Genomic DNA, 20,167 nt, shown 5'->3' on the forward strand with positions numbered 1-20,167 from the left:
TATTAAAAATGCAAAAATTAGACAGGCGTGGTGGCACACACCTGTAATCCCAGCTACTTGGGAAGCTGAGGCAGGAGAATTGCTTGAACCTGAGAGGTGGAGTTTGCAGTGAGCCGAGATCGTACCATTGCACTCCAGCCTGGGCGACAGACGTGAGACTCCGTCTCAAAAAAAAAAAAAAAAAACGCTGAAAGCTTTAGCAACCCTGGGCCCCCACATTCCCCGCTGGCTGCCACCAGTAGGAGCTGAGAGGCTGCTGTCCTGTAGATGAATCCCCGCCTCTCCCTTTTGTCCTTAATTGTTATGAGCACATACTTTCTGCCAGGCACTATTCAAAGCAACATAAATCTAGATTCATTCTCCTCCTCCCTCCCTGTCACCATCAGAACAAACACTCGGCACTTGTCGTGTCCCAGCATTGCTCTATTAACTCATTTAATCTTCACAACTCTAAAAAGTGGGTACTGTTATTATCCCCATTTTACAGACGAGGAAACCAAAATGCAGAGAGGTTAAGCAGCTTGATTGAGATGGCACAGGTGATAGCCCAGATTTGAACCTAGATAGTCTGACTTCAGAGTTTATTCTCCTGATCAGTACTCTGTACTATTTCTCATTTAATTATTATACAACTGGTAGGCTATGAGCCCATTTTACAGACATGGAAGTTGGGGCATGGAGGAGTTACGTAACCAGGTTAAAGTCACACCAGAATCAAACCCAGGCACTCTGGTTCCAGAGTTCCCACTTGTAAACCACTTCTAACTCACTTTCTGCCAAGCTGTAAGAGTCTCCAGACCCTGGATCTTCAATTCTCCCACAGTGGTGAAATCCACAGACACACTCCTTTTTGTGACTTGGAGCTGTCAGTGCCCTTTCTACTGCCCTGGAACAATCTGGCTGCCATGGTGAAGGCTTTGAGGGTGGAAGCGATGAGGCAGAGAGAGGTTGCTCCCAAATTCAGAACAGGTAGCGCCAGTGAGGTCAGGTTACACACACACACTTTCTTTCTCATGGGGCAGGTGGTGAGCTCCAGAGACTCTGCAGGGGACATTCCACCCTGGAGCATGACCCCCAAGTGCTGGATTATGCCTCTCCCCCTGCCTGGCCTACTGTTCTCCCTCCTCCTGGGCCATTCCTTCTATTACAGAGTCTTTACTAGGTGGCTTCAAAGGTCCTACTCAAAGGAGGACCCCCAAGAGTCATGAGTCACAGGACCTGCACTCAGGGGGATTCTGGAGGGAGCATGGAGCCAAGAAGCCCCCCAGTGGCTTCCATTGCATTCCCACCTCTGCTTCTTACCAGCTGTGGGACCCTGGCTAGTGGCCTAACCTCCTTGAGACCCATTTGCCCCATCTGTTTAATGGGAGTAATTATTCCACCGACCTCACAGACTCAATGTGAGGATGAAATGAGTTGAAACAGGGAGTGGACTTAGTGTGCTTAAAAAGTATAGAACAAGATCTGAATTCCTTATCCTTGGCCACCAGGCCCCACTTGTCTATCCCTGGAAGCCTCCCAAACTCATCTCCGTCCCTATTGCCTTTGCTCCTTGGGCCCAGCCCCTGGCCCCTTTTCCTTTGCTTTAACTGAGAAGCATGATTCTGCCCTCCGAGCCTTTGCATCTGCTGTTTCCTCTGTCTGGACCAGTCTTCACCCAGGCTCTGCAGGACCAGCCCTCCCTCAGTTCTCATCAGAGAGGTCTTTCCTAATGAAAGGAACTGCCCCTTCCTTCATTCATTTGTTCATTCATTTATTGAACAAATGTTTAATCAGCCATGTGCTTGGCATGGTTTTAAGTACTAGGGAGACAGCATAGAAAACCCTATCCTCATGGAGCCCACGCTAGGGTGCTGACAAAGCAAAAAGCTGACAATGACGATAAAGAAGCAAAGTATTTAGCACGTTGCATAGTGATGCTTGCTGTGAAGGAAAAAGGCAGGGGAGGAGCATGAGGAATGCAAGAGTGGAGGGTTGCAGTTTTTGTTAGGGTGGCTAGAAAAGAGGTCCCTGAGAAGATAACACTTAAGACCTGTAGGAGGTAAGGGAGGGTGCCACATGGCTACACAGAACAAGAGCCGTATGCACAGAGAAGACAGCAAGTGCAAAGGCCCTGAGGCAGCAGTGTGCTCAAAAAACTTTACATATATTAATACAAACATATGTACATATGCATATTTAAATTTCTGTTCCTGTTTAGCATGCAACTTAGTGCCTGGCTCATGGTAGATCCTTAAAAAATTATTTCTGGGTGAGTGAAGGGGTAGGTGGATGAAGACAGAATGGTGCTGAGGAACCCAGATAACTTTAGGGAGATATTGGTTCTGAATCCTTAGTAAAGTTTCCTTCACTTCCCCCTGCCTCATTTTCTACATTTGCATCGTACTGATGACAATAATTTCCTTACTGCGTTGTTGTGGAGAATAAAGAGATCATGCTCATGCAGTCCTTGCCACAGTAACCCTGGTTTGTTTGTAGGAACCACTTGAGAAATATTACCTATTATTCCTTATGATTCAAGGGAAAAATGGATTTGAATTGATTGTATCCTGTCTCTGGGAAGGGGTGGTGGGGAGTTCCCCTGAATAGAGGAAAATTTTTCTTTTAAAATGCACATGCATTTTTCAGAAACTGATGCTCTAATCTCATTGTTTCCAAGGAGAGGTGAAACCACCACCCTACGCTACAAGCTGGGCTGTCAGCTGCTCTCACTTCCTGCACCTCCTCTGCCCTGGGCATGACAAGACCTCATTTTCAGTTTCAGTCTCACCGGTTCCAACCCGGGGCTGACGGGTTTTGATTCATTTCATCCAAACCAGGCTGAGCTGCCCAGAGCTTTGCCCAGGTGCTGGCCTGGGGAACCACATGTCAGCTTCATCCTTCTCACCTTTAAGGCTTTTGTAGCCGTTCACACCCAGAACAACCTCTACCTGTGCAGAACAGAAATCCCGCTTTGTGGGAGGAAATGGTGCTATTAATCCCATCGTGGCCTCCACAGGTAAAGAGCTTCCACTGATGGCAGTAGCTCACAAATGTCATAGTCTCGAGCCACTTTCTGGCGTATATTCAGACCACCTCTACTGCCACTTGGTACTAATTTGTTCTTTTTTTTTTTTGAGACCGAGTTTCGCTCTTGCGAACCAGGCTGGAGCGCAGTGGCACGATCTCGGCTCACTGCAACCTCTGCCTCCCAGGTTCAAGCAATTCTCCTGCCTCAGCCTCCGGAGTAGCTGGGATTACAAGTGCCCACCACCACACCCAGCTAATTTTTGTATTTTTAGTAGAGGCAGGGTTTCACCATGTTGGCCAGGCTGGTCTTGAACTCCCGACCTCAGGTGATGCACTCGCCTAAGCCTCCCAAAGTGCTGGGATTAGAGGCATGAGCCACCGTGCCTGGCCTGTTGTTTCTTTAAAACAACTCCTTTGAAATAAATTCATTTTAAAAGGATGACTTAAGCCAGTTCCAGAAATGAAACGTTATGACTTTGATGGTCTTGTTGTGATTCTAATGTACATAAAATTAATTTGCAACGATTTCAATCAAAGAGGGAGTATTTATAGACTCCCTAAAATCATCGCAGTCTGGGACTTGCAGCCTCATTCCTTTCTGTCCTCAGTGGCACCTCCCGCAAGAGACAAAGGGCTTGCTCATGGTCACAGAGCCTCTCAGTGACAGTCAGAATTGGGGCACCCACTTCTGGATGCCTAGTGTGGTGTCTTTCCAGCTGTCCCTGTCCCTAGTATGGGAGTGATTTAAATCACCCACACAAGGAAGATGAACTGATACAGTTTACAGACATTTACCTTTATAGCAGAGACCTGCCTGGAGACATCTCGCTGGCACTACAAATTGTCTCATCTCACTGGGGGATCCCTTAGAAGCCGGCCCCTGGGGTCCAATTAGGCAACATAACAGCCGTTGCTGCTTTCAGAATCATTAGCTTCTTAATCCTCCCAGTGAGAGGTGAAAAAAGTGTGAACATTCAAATTGTGCTCATGGATTTAAGTGGCTTAACCAAGGGCCCCCAGGAGAGTGGAAGCTAATAATAGCTCCTCTGTGCTGAGCACTTAACCATTTGCCAGGTACCTGCCCCATCTGCATATGTGCAAGATATTGCCCCAATTTGCAGATGAGAAAACTGAGACTCAGAGGGAAGAGGTGAAGGACACAAGGTCTCATGGCTGTATTGCAGCACAGCCAAGATTTAAATTTGGATCTGACCCCTTAAGCCTATCTGTTTTCTTTGGAAAGAACATCAACAAATTATGAGAATGGGTTGTAGATTTGGCCTACGGTAGGTGCATGATAAACACTTGTTGACTGCGTGAATGAATGAAACATGGTGTGTATCCTCGGGTAAGTTGCTTCACACAGTCACTCACATACACAATTGCACATAAGTATGCACTCAGTATGCACAGACTGAAGCTTTAATTTCCTCTCTTAAAACTGGATCTTTTGCTTTGCACATTTATATTGTCTTTGTGGCCCCAATATGCACTTGAGTTTGTGTCTTCTGGAATGGAGATTTCTTTTTATGAACCCCAAATTGTGATAATGCTTAGTGATGTGTAGTTTTGTATTAGCCAGTGGTCTAAACTCTTACTCCTCAAAGTGTGGTTTGTGAACCTGCAGCGTCAGCATCACCTGGAGGCTTCCTTGACCAACAATCAGAACCTGTGTTTTAACAAGATCCCCAGGTGAATCCTGGTTCCAGGTGCACTGGTCTCAAATGTCCATTGCTTCCTTTGCACCTCGTTATAATTGCAGTTAAGTACTCATTTGTGTGATTGTTTGTCATCCATCTCACTCACTAGACAGGAGGCTTCGGGTCCATAAAGACAGGGACCCTGACTGCCTTGGCTCACTGTATTAGTCCGTTCTCGCACTGCCATAAAAAAATACCTGAAACTGGGTAATTTTAAAGAAAAGAGATTTAATTGGCTTACAGTTCTGCAGGCTGTACAGGAAGCCTGGCTCAGGAGGCCTCAGGAAACTTACAGTCATGGTGGAAGGCGAAGGGGAAGCAGGCACATTTTCCATGGCTGGAGCAGGAGGAAGAGAGGGGGGTGGCAAGTGCGAAACTCGGTCTCAAAAAAAAAAAAGAACAAATTAGTACCAAGTGGCAGTAGAGGTGGTCTGAATATACGCCAGAAAGTGGCTCGAGACTATGACATTTGTGAGCTACTGCCATCAGTGGAAGCTCTTTACCTGTGGAGGCCACGATGGGATTAATAGCACCCTTTCCCCCCACAAAGCGGGATTTCTGTTCCGCACAGGTAGAGGTTGTTCTGGGTGTGAACGGCTACAAAAGCCTTAAAGGTGAGAAGGATGAAGCTGACATGTGGTTCCCCAGGCCAGCACCTGGGCAAAGGTCTGGGCAGCTCAGCCCAGAGAACTCACTAACGTGAGAACATGATAAAACTTACTCACTATCATGAGAACAGGATAGAACTTACTATCATGAGAACATGAAGCCAGGGGAAAATACACCCCCATGCTTCAGTCACCTCCCACCAGGCCCCTCCTCCAACACTGGGGATTACACTCACTGTTGTAACCCAGTTCTGAACTCATGCCTGGCAATGAATGAATGAGCTCAGCTGATCCCTCTCTCCTCACCCATAGGAAGCTTGGGAAGTAGAGGAGGCTCAGAGTTTACAATTCAGAAGGAAATAGAGGAGGCACTCTACCCTCCCTACTTGGCAGCCAGCTGGCCCGTTATGCATCAGCCACAGCCCCTTCATCCTGTGGGTTCATTCTCAAGCCCTGGGGGAGGATGAAGAAGGGGCAAAGCTCAGAGTAAACAGATTTGGTTCTGTTGGGCGCCAGGTCATTAGAGCTGCTTTCACTACCAGCAAAGTGGACCTAAGTTGCCATCAATGACTCCTCCATTGACCTTGACCTCATAGCCTACATGGTCCAATATGAATCCATCACGGCAAGTTCAAGGGCAGCAACAAGGTTGAGAACAGAAAGCTATGATCAGTGGGAAGTCCACCTCCATCTGCCAGACACCAGATCCCAAAGAGGGCATTGCTGCCTTCATCACCCTAGAGATGCTTGGAGCTCATCTGAAGAATGGCATCAAAGGGGCATCATTCTGTCCCTTGTGCTGATGGTCTGTGTTTGAGATGAGGGTGACCTACTCCCTTTAGATTTCCAGCATGCCATCTGCTTGTTCCCCCAGAAGGGTCTATGACAACCATGGCATCATAAAAGTACTCATGACCACTGCCTGTGCCCTCTCTGCCCATCTGGCAAGCTGTGGTGCGATGGCCATGGGACTGTTCAGAGTGTATTCAGTGGCACTGCCAAGGCTGTGGCAAGGTCATTCCTGAGCTGAACAGGAAGCTTGCTGACACAGCCTCCTATGTCCCCACCCTCAGTGTGTCTGTCCAGGATCTGACCTGCCATCTAGAAAAAGCTGTTGAGCACAGTGACATCAAGAAAATGTGATGCGGGCACCTGGGGGGTCATTGAAAGAAATTCCGGGCTACACTGAAGACCACGTTGTCGCTTGCAACTGTAACAGTGATGCCCACTTCTCCACCTGTCACACTGGGGCTGGCATTGCCCACAACCACCAGTTGGTCAAGCCTACTTCCTGGTACTGTGATGATGTTTGGCTACAACAACTGCAGGGTGGACTTCCTGGTCCACATGACCTCTGAGGACTAAGGGCTCTGGACCACCAGCAAGTGCATAAGAAGAAGAAAGGCGTTCTCTGCTCTTGGGCAGTCCCTGCCCACCTCTGTGCCAAAGCAGAGAATCTCCACCCTTGACAGTGTCCCATCCAAGGCTCCCAGAGGAGGGAAGGAGCTTAGAGAGCCCTGCCTTATCATGTGTGTTTATGATAAGGATTATCAATGAAGTCCACACCACCCTAACCATGGAGAAAGGAAGCAGAAAGGGAGGCAGAAGATCACTCTACATAGAGTTTAATACACTCACTCTCCAGTTTCTCAATTCCTCCAGGTGTCCTGGGATGAAAAGGTTAAATGCGATTGATACCAGCAGAAAACAGAAAAAAGCCTGTGTTTTTTCAAAAATCACACAATTGCCAAAGGAAAATCTCTTTGCACTTACAAATGCCTGTTTCTCGCTTGCACAGTCTTCCTGAGGTTGCTGGGGTGGGAAAGGGAGAGTATTTACAGGTCTGCGTAGTGGGGGAGGGGAACCTGTCTGCTGGGGAAGGCAGGTTGCTCAATTCAGAGGAACTGGGTGGAAGCTTGAAAAGGAGCTGGGTGAGGCAAACATGCAAATCATGCCATGGAGATTGGCAGAAAAGACGCTTGCCTCCAATTTATGGAATGCCAAGTTAATTCGAGCCCATAGGAATGTTGTTCCCATAGATTTAGATTTTTATGAATATATACATATTTATGAAAGAAAACATTTAAAGTGTTTAATTCAGTAACTTATGCAGTACTAAATGCACTCAAGTCATGGGCTTTTACGAGGAATGAGATTGTGGCTGCTTCAGAATGAGACAGTTCATTCTTGAGCCCTGTGGGAGGATGAAGAAGGAGTGATGGGGTACAGGACACCCCGCCTAGGAGCAAACCCAGGGTAGGGAAATCAGCATTGAGTGAGCACCTACTGTGTGCCAGGGGCTTTCCTTGACATTCGGCTACTGTTGTTCCATCCTTTTCTTTGAATGTGATACATGATGCGAAATATATTTCTGCATTGTTGAATGCACGTGCATGCACACACAACACATTCTCACACCTGGACCTGCAACAAAAGGGTTACACAATTCCTTCTTACTATGGGCAATACCTGCTGCCATCGTATATCATAAAATAGGCAATTCTCCTTTTCTTAATTCCAGTTATGACTCTCTAAATGAACTTCAAGACCACCACCCCCGCCCCAACCCCAGTGGTTTGGGACTTGAACAGAATTTGGCTCAGCCAGGGGGAGGGCATTAAGAGTGTTGACCTTGGACTCACACAGCTTTTGGGTTCAAGTCCCAGTTCCCTTGCCCACGGTTGTGTGACTTGAACAAGGCACTTGACCTTCGGAGCCCCGGTTTCTTCATCTGTACAACGGGGTTAATGGCATCGCGTGCTCAGAGCGCTGTTGTGAGGACTCAATGAGAGCCTGTCTATAAGCAGTTAACAAGGGCCTGGCACATAGTCAACCTCTAAGTGAATGCCAGCTGCTCTTATGACAATGACTGTCATCGTCAGCTGTAGTGTCATGGTTGAGAAGACAGACTCTGGAGCCAGACCACCTGGGTTCAGATCACAGATCCACACCGTACTTCCTGTGTGGCCCTGGGTGAGTTACTTAAGCTCTCTGTGCCTACAGCTGTTCATCTGAGGATGAGAATAGAACCTTTCTCACAGGGTACTTATGAGGATTAAAATAATTAATCCAGGTAAAGAATTTAGAAGAGAGCTTGGCACGTAATAAGCACTGGGTAAATGATGGCTATCAGCATCATCTCATTTAATCCTTTCCTGTCCTTGCAAGATAAGTATTTTCATCCTCATTGCACAGGGGGGAGCCCTGAGGCCCAGAGATCTAGGAACTTGCCTGAAGTCTCATAACTAGGAAGTGGCAGAGTTGCAAGTGCACGTTGGTCTCCTGAGCCTCCAGCGCAGAGGCTGAGGCAGGCTCAGAGCTCCACAGCCTTAGGTTGTGATGATGACGCAGCCACTGCCCTACAGAACAGGGAGTGGGCATTGGCAGGTTGACGCTGTTCCCATCAGTAGACACATTATCTAGAATTTGTCCAGGACTCTGCAGTGAGGACATTGAGTTGCATTGTTCAAGATGACGGAGCACAAAAGTACTTCCCAGTGAACTGTCCCTATGTAAAATTATCCCCGGGCAAACGTCTCTCCCAGCTTAACTCTGTCACCTTTTCGTCACCCCCTGCATATCGCCTCCCATCAATGATTGGACATTGTGTGCTGAGTGATTGGGTGTTAGGTACTTGCATCAGGAGCCCAGGTGTCATCCATCTCTCTGCTCCACCACCCTAGATGGAGCTTAGGAGATGATCGAAGTGGTTCCTTCCCCTAAAGTGTTGGGGCCAGCTGCACCTGCACTCCATGGACTGGAAGTGAGGAGGCAGGGGAGGAACATCAAAGCCATGTCATTAGAAGAAGGGAAATGGAGGTTGGATGAGCAAAGCCAGCCTGTGTCTGCCATTCTGGGGTTCTTGGGGATTGCTTTTGAGGCAGGGAAGGGAGCGGTTTTCCATCCAGGAGTGGAAATGGCACCAGCTTGATTCACTTCCTAGTTGTGCTGCTGCCTGGTCATGTGACTTGGCTCAAGCACATTCTTTCTGTCTCTTTGGCCTCAGTTTCTCCATCTGTACAATGGATGGAGAAATGGACTCTACTCTGATGTTTCAAGGTGCTATGGATTCTTTAGATGTCATTTTTCCTTAACTGCACAGAGACGAAGTGCACCCAGAAAGGGCTCCGAACTCCTCAAGAAGAAGAGTGCTGAGATGTGGCGCCTCAGATAAGCATCTGTGGTGGAGAAAGCCGCGGGCAGCACCCCTCCAAGTCTGCTCCTGCTTAAGTGGTGTCTGAAGTCACCACCTCTGCAGAACATCACCCTAATCGCTAAAACTCTTCCAATTTTTCTTTTTCTCCTGCAGGCATCACCAAATCGGCCCCCCTGAGAGTGTCCCAGCTCTTCTCCAGGTGAGTGCCATTCACTTGTCTCCTGCTCACATGCCCACCTTTTCTTCTTTCTTGGAAGGTAGAGGTTAAGAGAGAGGGCCCTGGAGCCAGATTCCCTGGATAGGAATCCCAGCCGTAGCACTTCCTAGCTGAGTGAGCTTGAGCAAGTCACTCCACCTCCCTGGGCCTGAGCCCTCCCATCTGGGAGCGGGGGACAGTCATGCTGCCTGCCCCCACGAAACCAGCAAAAGCAGGTAAAACACACTTAGAATGGGGCCTGGAGCAGAGTGTCCTCAGAGTCTTAGCTATTATTTTCTTCTTTCTTCTCTTCATTCTTTTTTTTTTTTTTATTCTTTTCTTTCTCCCCTTCCTCTGCTTTCCCATGCATAGGGAATTTCTTAATTTTTCCCTCCCTTTTTGCCACTGTCTTTCTTTCTCCTTTCCTCATTCCTTTCCTTTCCCTTCTTTTCAATCTCCCTTCTATTTTTTTTTTCTCCGAGACAGAGTCTTGCTCTGTCACCCAGGCTGGAGTGCAGTGGCGTGATCTCAGCTCACTGCAACCTCTGCCTCCCAGGTTCAAGTAATTCTGCCTCAGCCTCCCAAGTAGCTGGGATTACAGGCTCCCTTCTTTCTATCCTTATTTTTCTCTCCCTTTTTCTCTTTCCCTTCCTCTCTTCCCTCCCCTTTCGTCCCCCATCCTTTTCTCTCCACCTCTCTCTCCCTTTTCCCCTCCCTCCTTTCATCATTTCTTTACTTTATTTTAAGTTCCAGTATACACATGCAGAACATGCAGGTTTGTTACATAGGTAAACATGTGCCATGGTGGTTTGCTGCACCTGTCAACCCATCACCTAGGTATTAAATTCGACATGCATTAGCTATTCTTCCTGATGCTCTCCCTCTCCCCTACCCTTCCCTAACAGGCCACAGTGTGTGTTGTACCCCTCCCTGTGTCCATGTGTTCTCATTGTTCAGCTCTCACTTGTAAGTGAGAACATGCAGTGTTTGGTTTTCTGTTCCTGCATTAGTTTGCTGAGGATAAGGGTTTCCAGCTTCATCTGTATCCCTGCAAAGGACATGATCTTGTTCCTTTTTATGGCTGCATAGTATTCTATGGTGTATCTGTACCACAATTTCTTTACCCAGTCTATCATTGATGGGCATTTGGGATGATTCCATGTCTTGGCTGTTGTAAATTGTGCTGCAATGAACATATGCGTGCATGCATCCTTTCTTCCTCCTCTACCATTCACACATCACTCCTCAGTACCTAACCCCACACTGAGCCCTAGAAACTCAGAGATGGATGAGATGCAGTCTCTGCCCCCGGAGAGCTAGTCCATATTGATGGATGAGACACCTTCCAGGACTGGGGCTGACATCTCCAGCTCAAATGAGTTTCTTATGCATTTTGCAGCAGGTTCCCCCAAATAACCCTTTATCGTGGCAGTAGTCTAAAAGAAAGAAGGGCATAGGGACATCTGTTTATAATTCCATAAACTTTTGCATTCACCTGCTGTGAGGCCTCAGGTGGAAGAGGAACTCTGGAAGCAAACAGGCTTTAGCAAAAGTGATGTAACCAAAATGGAATCAGATACAGATTGGGGAATCTCATCAACATTTACCTGTACGCTTAACCCAGTTGTGACAGTTAGAAACATGATAGTTGTGGTGTCTGGGGGAGGGTGGCATAGTGGAGGGGTTGAGGGTGTGGCCTCTGGAGCCAGGGTTCAAATTCTCTATCTGCTGTATGCTTGTGGCGTGTTATTAAGTCTCTCTCTGCCTCTGTTTTCTTACCTGTAAAATGGGGATAGAAACAAAAATTACCTCCAAGGCTTATCACAGTTGTGGTGGAGTTTAAATGAGCCAATTCACATGAAGTAAATAGGACAGTGCCTGGCACGTAGGCATGAGAATTGACTACCTTTACCACTAAGGGAAGTGGCCCTTGTAGGCATTGTTGCAGACAGGATGTGATTCGGTCTCAAGAGGTGGCTGCTGCTCAAATCCAGCTGATAGCACCACACAGGCGTGCAGACCCAGGTACGCTGAAGCACCTGCTTTTCAGGAGAAGGAAGACAAAGCGAGTGTGTTTATGTGCATGCCTGCATGTGTGTGTGTATCTGTGCACGTAACCTCCTGGTTTTCAAATTTTAACAACAATTTCAAATTAGGAAAAAAAATAACTTCACTGGTCAAAGAAATTATATCCATGGATCTGTGGATTGGATGTGGCCCCTGGGCCACCATTTTGCTCCCTTTGTGTTAGAACAACTGACCTTGACTTTATTTATTGCTATCTGCAGGGCTGGATGAATCCTAGTCCTGTGAGGAATAGCAGATTCATGGTTCCAAGCATGGGCTCTGGAGTCAGACTCCTTCATTTAAGCTCTATATTTACCACTTTGTAGCTGTGTTTTCAGCTCTCTGAGTTTTGGTTTCCTCATCTCTAAACCAGGAGAGATAAGAGCCTCCACCCCAGAGATTTGATAAGAGCATCCATGAGATATAATGTACATACCAGGTGCATGTGACACAATTCCCAACCCTTAGTAAAAAACACAATGCTTGGCAGCACCCATAGTATAAATATCTTAAGTAAGGAGCCCTGTACATCCTAGCCCATTATAGAACCTGTTGTTCTCCATGGAGTAGAGAAGTCATTTGTGGTCTTTGGTTGCAAGCAACAGAAATCAACTCTGGCTGATATAAGTCTAAAAGCATTTTTGGGGGAATATCTGGAATAGCTCACAACATAAATGAAATAATCAGGCCTCGAGAGAGATTAAGAATGGGACAGATTCAGGATTCAAGCAATATGGAGGATTTAAATTCCCAGGGCAGAGTCTGATTGGATGATCTTGCATCATGTCCCCACCCCTTAGCTAAGAGCAGGACATCTTGATTGACAGCCCTGTTAAAGCTGCAGTCAATTGAGAAGGTATCTAAATTAGGACAATCGGGGTAGGATAGGCTATGCTACAGTAATCAGTAAACCTCGACATCTCAGTGGCTTCACACAACAAAGGTTTGTTTCTTACATAAAGTCCAGTGTGGATGGGGTGAAACCCTGCAAGGCAGCTCTCTCTCCTCCACAAGCTGACTCAGGGATCCAGGGTGTTTCCGTATCATGGCTCTGTCATCTCAACCTGTGCCCTCCACAGTTGCTATCAAAAGAGGAGAAAGGACAGGAGGGTTGCGGGGGATGTGTTCATTGGCCAGGCCTGCGAGTGGCTTACAGCATATCTGCTTACATTCTACGGGGCTGAACCCAGTCACACGGCTGAATCTGACTGCACAGGAGACAGAAAATGTAATCTTCCTGCTTCCCAGGCAGAGGAAAATAAAATGGGATTTGGTGAACATGTATGTTGTCTCTGCTCTGGAAAGAGTAGAACCCCAAAGAAAAATGGGGGTGTTGATATCAAGATAAGGAAGAAGGGGTGCCAGACTGGGCCTGGAGATTTAATCTTCCCTCTTTCCACACAGATCTTGCCCACGTGTCCTCCCCCGCCAGCCTTCCACAGCCATGGCAGCCTACGGCCAGACGCAGTACAGTGCGGGGATCCAGCAGGCTACCCCCTATACAGCTTACCCACCTCCAGCACAAGCCTATGGAATCCCTTCCTACAGTGAGTAGTAAACAAGTCCTTACTCTCCTCCTCAGGTCCCCAAATCATGGTCTTTGTTCTGCACTATTGTCTCAGCTAAATGTGGATTAATAGACACAACCAAGCTGATTTTGGATTAGAGATAAAGGGAAAAGAGTAACACTTTAAATATGGTTCAAATTCTATAGCCTATAATATCAAGATCCCTTTTGATGGCAAGAATTGGAAATTGAACCCAAGCTGGTTTAGGGAAAATTGGGACTGAATGATTTGCATACCGAGAGATCTGTGGATACAGCTGTCATCAGGTATGACTGGATCTAGGTGCTAAAGCGTCATCGTGAGGTGTAAGTCTCTTTCCATCTTCAGATGCTCCCAGCAAGTTCTCCCTGCATGGCAGCAAAGATGGTGCCTGTCCACTCAAGGTTTGCATCCTTTTATCTCTGCATGCCCAGTGGAAAGAGAGCTCATCTTTCCCAGAAGTTCCAACAGAATCCCATATTGGCCCTCATTGGCCCAAGTTGGGCCATGTGGCAATGCTTATAGCAAGGCAAGGAGAACAGGGTGATGGAGATAAGGAAGCTGAAGCCTATGGATTATCTTTGAAGGAGGGGTGGTTTTCTTAAAGGAAAACAGAGTGGTAGTATCAGAAGAAGGAGAAATGGATGTGGTGGAGGACGGGGCAGAAACAACAGACCTCCAGCCCTTGACTGTTCACATCTTACAGCTAAGAACTGAAGACTTGCGAACCTGGCTCACCATCCATGCCCACCTGCCCTTGCCTCTGGCCTTGAGTCATGCTATTCCCTCGCCTCCTAGCTGATATCTTAACCAAAGCCCTTTTAGTAGCAAGTGACAAAAACCCAAGCTAATCAGCTGGAGGAAACAGGGGAATTTATTGCCTATGTAGCTGGAAAAACCTAGGGCACTGGCTTCAGGCAGGCCTGGGTCCAGGTCCTCAAGGTATAATATCAGGACTCAGCCTCTGCTTCCCTTTCTGTGGGCCTCAGGCTCAGGCAGGCTCTCCCACTGTGGTGGCAAAGACAGCCCTGGCAGTTTCAGGCTGCAGTGTCCCCCAAAAAGAGAGCCCCTCCTGTCTAGGACTTCCTGCAGAGTCCCAGGAATTTCTCTACTGGACTCCCACATCCATCCAAGAAGATAGGTGCTGTGGGTGGCCATATTTGGCCACATGTCCACCCGCAGGACCAGGGGTCAGGTCAGCCTCACCCAAAACAACTGATCTGAAGGTGAGGCAGGGGTGGTTCACAAAGGAGAAGGAGGCAGGAAGAAACTACAGATAGCCACTCCACGTGACTTTACAGCCCACCCAAATCCGGGCTATCCAGTGGAAAGGACGTAGCGTTGGTGGCAGGGACCTGCCTGCCTGACTTCGCTGCCCCTGACCTCTCCAGGCCTCAGTTTCCTCAATTGTAAAATTAATATGCTCGTTTCATCTTCCCACCTAGAGGGGTCCTGCTTGAGTTGAGTGCAGAGGCTGACTCTTACATTTCTTTCCTCCCTCCTCTTCCTCCATACCTCTGCCCTGTTTGTTTGTTCATTCATTCATTCATTTATTCATTCATTCAACATTGAGTCATGTGTGGGGCAGACAGTGGTCAACAAAGCAGAGCGGGCCCTGTCTTCATGGAGATTACTGCCTAAAACCGATGATCAGGCAGCACTAGACTCACAGTTTTGGTATCAGGGGTCAGTGGCTCTATGTGGACAAAAGCCCTGCAGACATTTCCTTTTAGCTTTAGTTTGCCACAGTCCTCACCCAGCCCACGTTACTCCCTTGAATTATCTGCCTTTTCCATGAAGACACTTGAGTTTGCAAACTCTGGCCTAGAGATAGAAAAAAAAGTTTTTTTAATTTTCTTTTTTTGAGACAGCATCTCACTCTGTTGTCCAGCCAGAGTGCAGTGGCACCATCGCAGCTCACCGCAAGCTCAACATCACAGGCTCAAGTGATCCTCCCACCTCAGCCTCCCAAATAGCTCAGACTACAGGCATACGCTACTGCGCCCTGCTAATTTTTTGTATTTTTTTGTAGAGATGAGGTTTTGCCATGTTGGCCAAGCAGGTCTCAAATTCCTGGCCTCAAGTGATCTACTGCCTTGGCCTCCCAAGGAGCTGAGACTACAAGCGGGAGCCACTGTACCTGGCCCCAGATTTTTAAATCTGTATGTGTAATTTCAAATTAGGATGCACGGCATAAAGGAAGCAAAGACTTGTTTTAGGTTCTAGGGATGGGAAAGGCCTTTTAAATAAGGAGCGAAATTCAGCTGAGAACTGAGAGATAGCCATGTGCAGGCACAGACAGGAGAGCATCCAGGCAGAGGGGCAGGCCCTGGGAATGGGGAGGAACTTGGCAATTCTGAGAAGACTAATGGCTGGAGCACAATGGGAGATGAGGTGAATGAGGTGGGCGGGGCCTCCGAGGCCCAGGAAAGATTTGGGGTTCTGTTCCACGTGAGACTGGAAGCCACTAGAGGGTTTATAAGCAGTGGGTAATAGGATGCAACTTAGGTGGGTTTTTTTTAATTTTATTCTTATTTTTATTATTTTTAGAGACAGGGTCTGGCTCTGTCTTCCAGGCTGGAGTGCCATGGTGCAATCATAGCTCACTGCACCCTCCACCTCCCAGGCTCAAGCAATCCTCCTCCCTCACCCTCATGAGTAGCTGGGACTACAGGCACGCACTACCTCCCCTGGCTAATTTTTTTTTATTTTTTTGTAGAGACGGGGGGTGGGGGGTCTCACTTTGTTGCCCAGGCTGGTCTTGAACTTCTTACCTCAAGCAATCCTCCTATCTCTGCTTCCCAAAGTGCTACAATGACAGGCATGAGCTACCATGCCCAGCCTAGGTTTTAAAGATCACACTGGCTGCTGTGGTGAGGCTGGCTCAGAGGGGATCAGGAGGAGAAGCAGGAAGGCCCGTTGGGAGACGGATGAAGCCTGGAGCAGGAAATGTTGGAGGCCTGGGGCGAGGCCATGGCAGCGGACAGACACATGTAGACAGAATCAAGAGCAACTCTAGAGGCAGAATTGACAGGTCCTGTCGAGGCATCAGTCCAGGCTTAGTAATAGTCACCATCGTTGACTTCCTGTCACTCACATTGGTTTATTTCCACTAATTCCTTTAATCCCCACCTCAACCCTACGAGGAAGGTCATCTCATTATCCTCCCTTGAGCGATAAAGAAACAGAGACTCAGAGAGGTTAAATAACTTACCCAAGGTCACCCAGCTGGTTGGTGGCAGAGGTGGAATTAAGCCCAGGCAGCCTGGCTCTGGACCCCGAGCCCTCACCCACGGGGCTCCGACGCCTGGCTGTGCATTCTGTAAATCCCGGGGGATTACCTATGACAGACCTTGGCCAACAGGTGTGGGCATCTTTTCTAACTTTTTTCCCCTGCTGTGCTAGAAGGCTTAGAATACAATCACACATAAGTTACCCCGCTTGGCTGACAGCCAAGAAAAATGAAGCCATATTCTTTTTCACATAAAAGAGAAAACTAGCCCTGTTCCCAGACAAAACATGGCATCAGATGGAAATCAATTTGGTGCAAAGTTATTTTACTGTCTCAGTTACTTTTGGAGCGTCTGCTCCTGGATGATACAGAGTAGATGATAAGAGCACATGTCCTGGAATTCTGCTGCCCAGATTCACATCCCACCCTTGCCTGTTGCAGGCTGCAAGACCCTGAGGGAGCAGCCTCCCCTCCCTAAACCTCTGTTTTCACATTCATACAATGGGAGTAATACTAAGTCTACCCCTCTCATGATTGCTGGGAGGATTAAATGAGATCATCTACACCAGGGGTTGGCTATCTTCTTCTGTAAAGGCCCAGGTGGTAAATACTTTCTACTTTGTGATCCATATGGTCTTTATTACAACTACTCAGCTCTGCCATTGTGGCGTGAAAGTAGCCAGACTGAATGTAAACGAATGGGTATGTCTGTGTTCCAATAAAACTTTATTTACACAAACAGGCAGTGGACCAGATTTGGTCCATGACCCTGATCTAGATGAAGGGCTTCCTCACCAGGGCCCACCCCAAGAGAAATGCTCAACAAATGTCACCTGTCCCAGTAGAAGCCAGGCTGCCACACACACACGCGTGCACGCACACACACATACACACACACAGAATGTCCATGTCACTGAACAATAACAGGTGGATGAAAAGCCGTTTCCCTTTACATCTGCCTGTGCCTGAGCAAGCTGTGTTTGCTCATCGTCTGGACAAACCTTGTTGAATCTTGTCAGGAAACTTTTTACATTGCTCCTTGGCAAATAGTGCTATTTACTTTGTTTAAATACCTGCAGGAAATAACACAATTGAGCAAACTAGAGACAAGGACAGTTAGTGTATTGAGTATTTTTTTCTCAATTTATTATGCAATATTAAAGACATACATAATAGAGTAATACTATGACACCTATGAACTGACCATTCAATTTAAAAAATAAAGGGAGGTGGCTTTCCTTTCCTCTCAAAGATTCCTGTGCCCCCAAGTTTCATGTTTATCATTCCCCTGCATTTTTTTATGTAGAAGAGATCAACAAACTTTTTCTATAAAGAGCCACATAGTAAATATTTTTGTCTTAGCAGACCACACAGTCTCTATCTCAATCACTCAACTCTGCCATTGTAGCATGAAAGCAGCCATAGACAAAGCATAAACGAATGGGCTGTCTATGTCTCAAAAAACTTTATTTACAAAAATGAACAACAGATGACATTTGGCCTATGGGCTGGAGTTTGCTGACCTTTAATGTAGAGTATTTTAAGCATGTTTTAAAACTTTACCTACATTGCATCTTTTAGTACACATTCTTTTGCAACTTGCTTTTTCCACCCAACATTGTGTCTGTAAAATGTATCCCTGTTCATACAAGTAGCTGTAGTTCATTCATTTTCACTGCTGTATAATATTCCACTACTTGATGGCACCATAACTTACTTACCCATTCTTTAGACAGTCTTTTAGGGCTTTGTTTGTTTCTCATTACATAGGATGCTGCAATCAGCATCTTTGTGCATTTCTCAGGGGTGGAAACCTATGAGAGGAATTTCTGGGTCATGGGGTATATGCATTCTTCACTATCCTGGATAATGGCAAAGAATTTTCATTGTCTCTGGCTTTGTAAAAAGCCACTCCAGAACTTAGTGGCTTAAAATAACACTGACGTATTATTTCTGTGGGCTGGCCAGTTGGGCCTGCTGCTGGTCTCCCACAGTCCCTCTCATGCTGCTGTGCTCGCAGCAGGTGGGCTGGGGCTGCCTAGATGGCACCAGTGGGGCCTCTCTCTCATGTGGCCCTTCCTCTGGGTTTCTTCAGGCATGGTGGGCTCAGGTTCCAGGAGGCTGAAGATAAAAGCTTCAAAGCCTCCGGGTGCTGAGTCTCAAGAACTACTGGGCGTGGTGGCACACACGTGCTCCCAGCTACTAGAGAGGCTGAGGTGGGAGGATCACTTGAGCCTGGGAGGTCGAGGCTGCAGTGAACTGTGAGCATGCCACTGCACTCCAGCCTGGGTGACAGAGTGAAATCCTGTCTCAAAAAAAAAAGTAGTTACATATTTATTTTAATATGCATTTATATCTACATATATATATGTGTATGTGTACAAATATAAATATAATATATATAAAATATGGAACCTGTGATTTCTTGGTCATTATTGCTTAAGGCAAGCAAATAGTTTTAAAATTGAGTTGATTTTTTTTTTTTTTTTGAGATGTAGTCTTGCTGTGTCTCCCAGGTTGGAGTGCAGTGGCATGATCTCGGCTCACTGCAACCTCTGCCTCCCACGTTCAAGTGATTCTCCTGCTTCAGCCTCCTGAATAGCTGGGATTACATATGTGCACCACCACACCCAGCTAATTTTTTGTATTTTTAGTAGAGACAGGGTTTCACCATGTTTCCCAGGCTGATCTTGAACTCCTGGCCTCAAATGATCTGCCTGCCTCAGCATCCCAAAGTGCTGGGATTGCAGACATGAGCCACCATGCCTGGCCTGATGTTTAAAAATAACATGAAATGAATCATTATATGGATGGTGCTGGGGTATGGGAAAACCAAGCAAGTGGTGCACAACATTGAAGATGGGGAAGCACTAATTTGGTCCAAAACCCTCATTGTAGTCACGAGGAAACTGAGGCTTGGAAAGCAGAGGGCACCTGCCTCAGTGATACCACAGAGCCAGGACAGGAAACGAGTACTCTGGGCTGTGCCATGTGCCATGGGCTGATCCAAATTCACATCACGGAGCACCTGCTCAGGGGGCTGTTGATATTTTAAACTTGAACCATCTCCTGTCTCTCCTCTGCTCAGATCCCTCCAGGGCCCCTCTCAGGATCAAAGCCAAAGGTTTTCCACTGCAGTATCTTTGCCCTGTCCCCACCTTGATGATCTTTCTGACCTCATCACTCACCCTCTCCCCAACCCTTACCCCACTCCAGCCTCACTGGCCTCCTTGCTGTTAGTTCATCCAACATACCAAGTACACTCCTGCCTGATGACCTTTGCACATGCCTTCCCTCTGCCTGGACAGGTATTCCTTCGGGTGTCCACAAGTCTTGCTCCTTTGCTTCCTTCAGGTCTTTGTTCAAATGTCTCTTCCTCCCTGGGACCTCTTCCTCCTCCTCCAAGGGACCTTTCAGGATCACTCTGTTTGAAATTTCAAATCCCAACTCCCCTTAACCAACTTTGCTACCTCCTTCCCTGCTTCATTCTTCTTTTTAGCACCTTAAGACTCTAAATGGAGTCCAAAAAATTTAATCATGTTTGGAGAATTGTGTTAGTGTGAGGTTCATAAGATAGCAGGGAAAAGTGTGTGCCGCTGAGTGTGCCAGGGAGTCAGGGAGCCAATCATGTTGTCTCTTGTGTTACCCAAAA

At 47.1% G+C, this 20,167-nt stretch overlaps 1 protein-coding gene and 1 pseudogene across 5 annotated transcripts in view; both read left to right on the forward strand.

Moving 5' to 3' along the window:
* The window catches only part of EYA2 (EYA transcriptional coactivator and phosphatase 2), a 294,002-nt gene that overhangs the window by 96,959 nt on the left and 176,876 nt on the right, over positions 1-20,167 (forward strand). For all 5 annotated transcript variants that reach the window (NM_005244.5, NM_172110.4, XM_017027721.3 and 2 more), the window contains exons 3-4: positions 9,627-9,672; positions 13,141-13,283. In NM_005244.5, coding sequence (NP_005235.3) covers positions 9,627-9,672; positions 13,141-13,283 — 189 coding nt within the window. The remainder of the gene's footprint in view (positions 1-9,626; positions 9,673-13,140; positions 13,284-20,167) is intronic.
* GAPDHP54 (glyceraldehyde 3 phosphate dehydrogenase pseudogene 54) lies at positions 5,910-6,676 on the forward strand (annotated as a pseudogene).

The sequence above is a fragment of the Homo sapiens genome, chromosome 20, assembly GCF_000001405.40.
Source record: "Homo sapiens chromosome 20, GRCh38.p14 Primary Assembly".
Taxonomy (NCBI): Eukaryota; Metazoa; Chordata; class Mammalia; order Primates; family Hominidae; genus Homo; species Homo sapiens.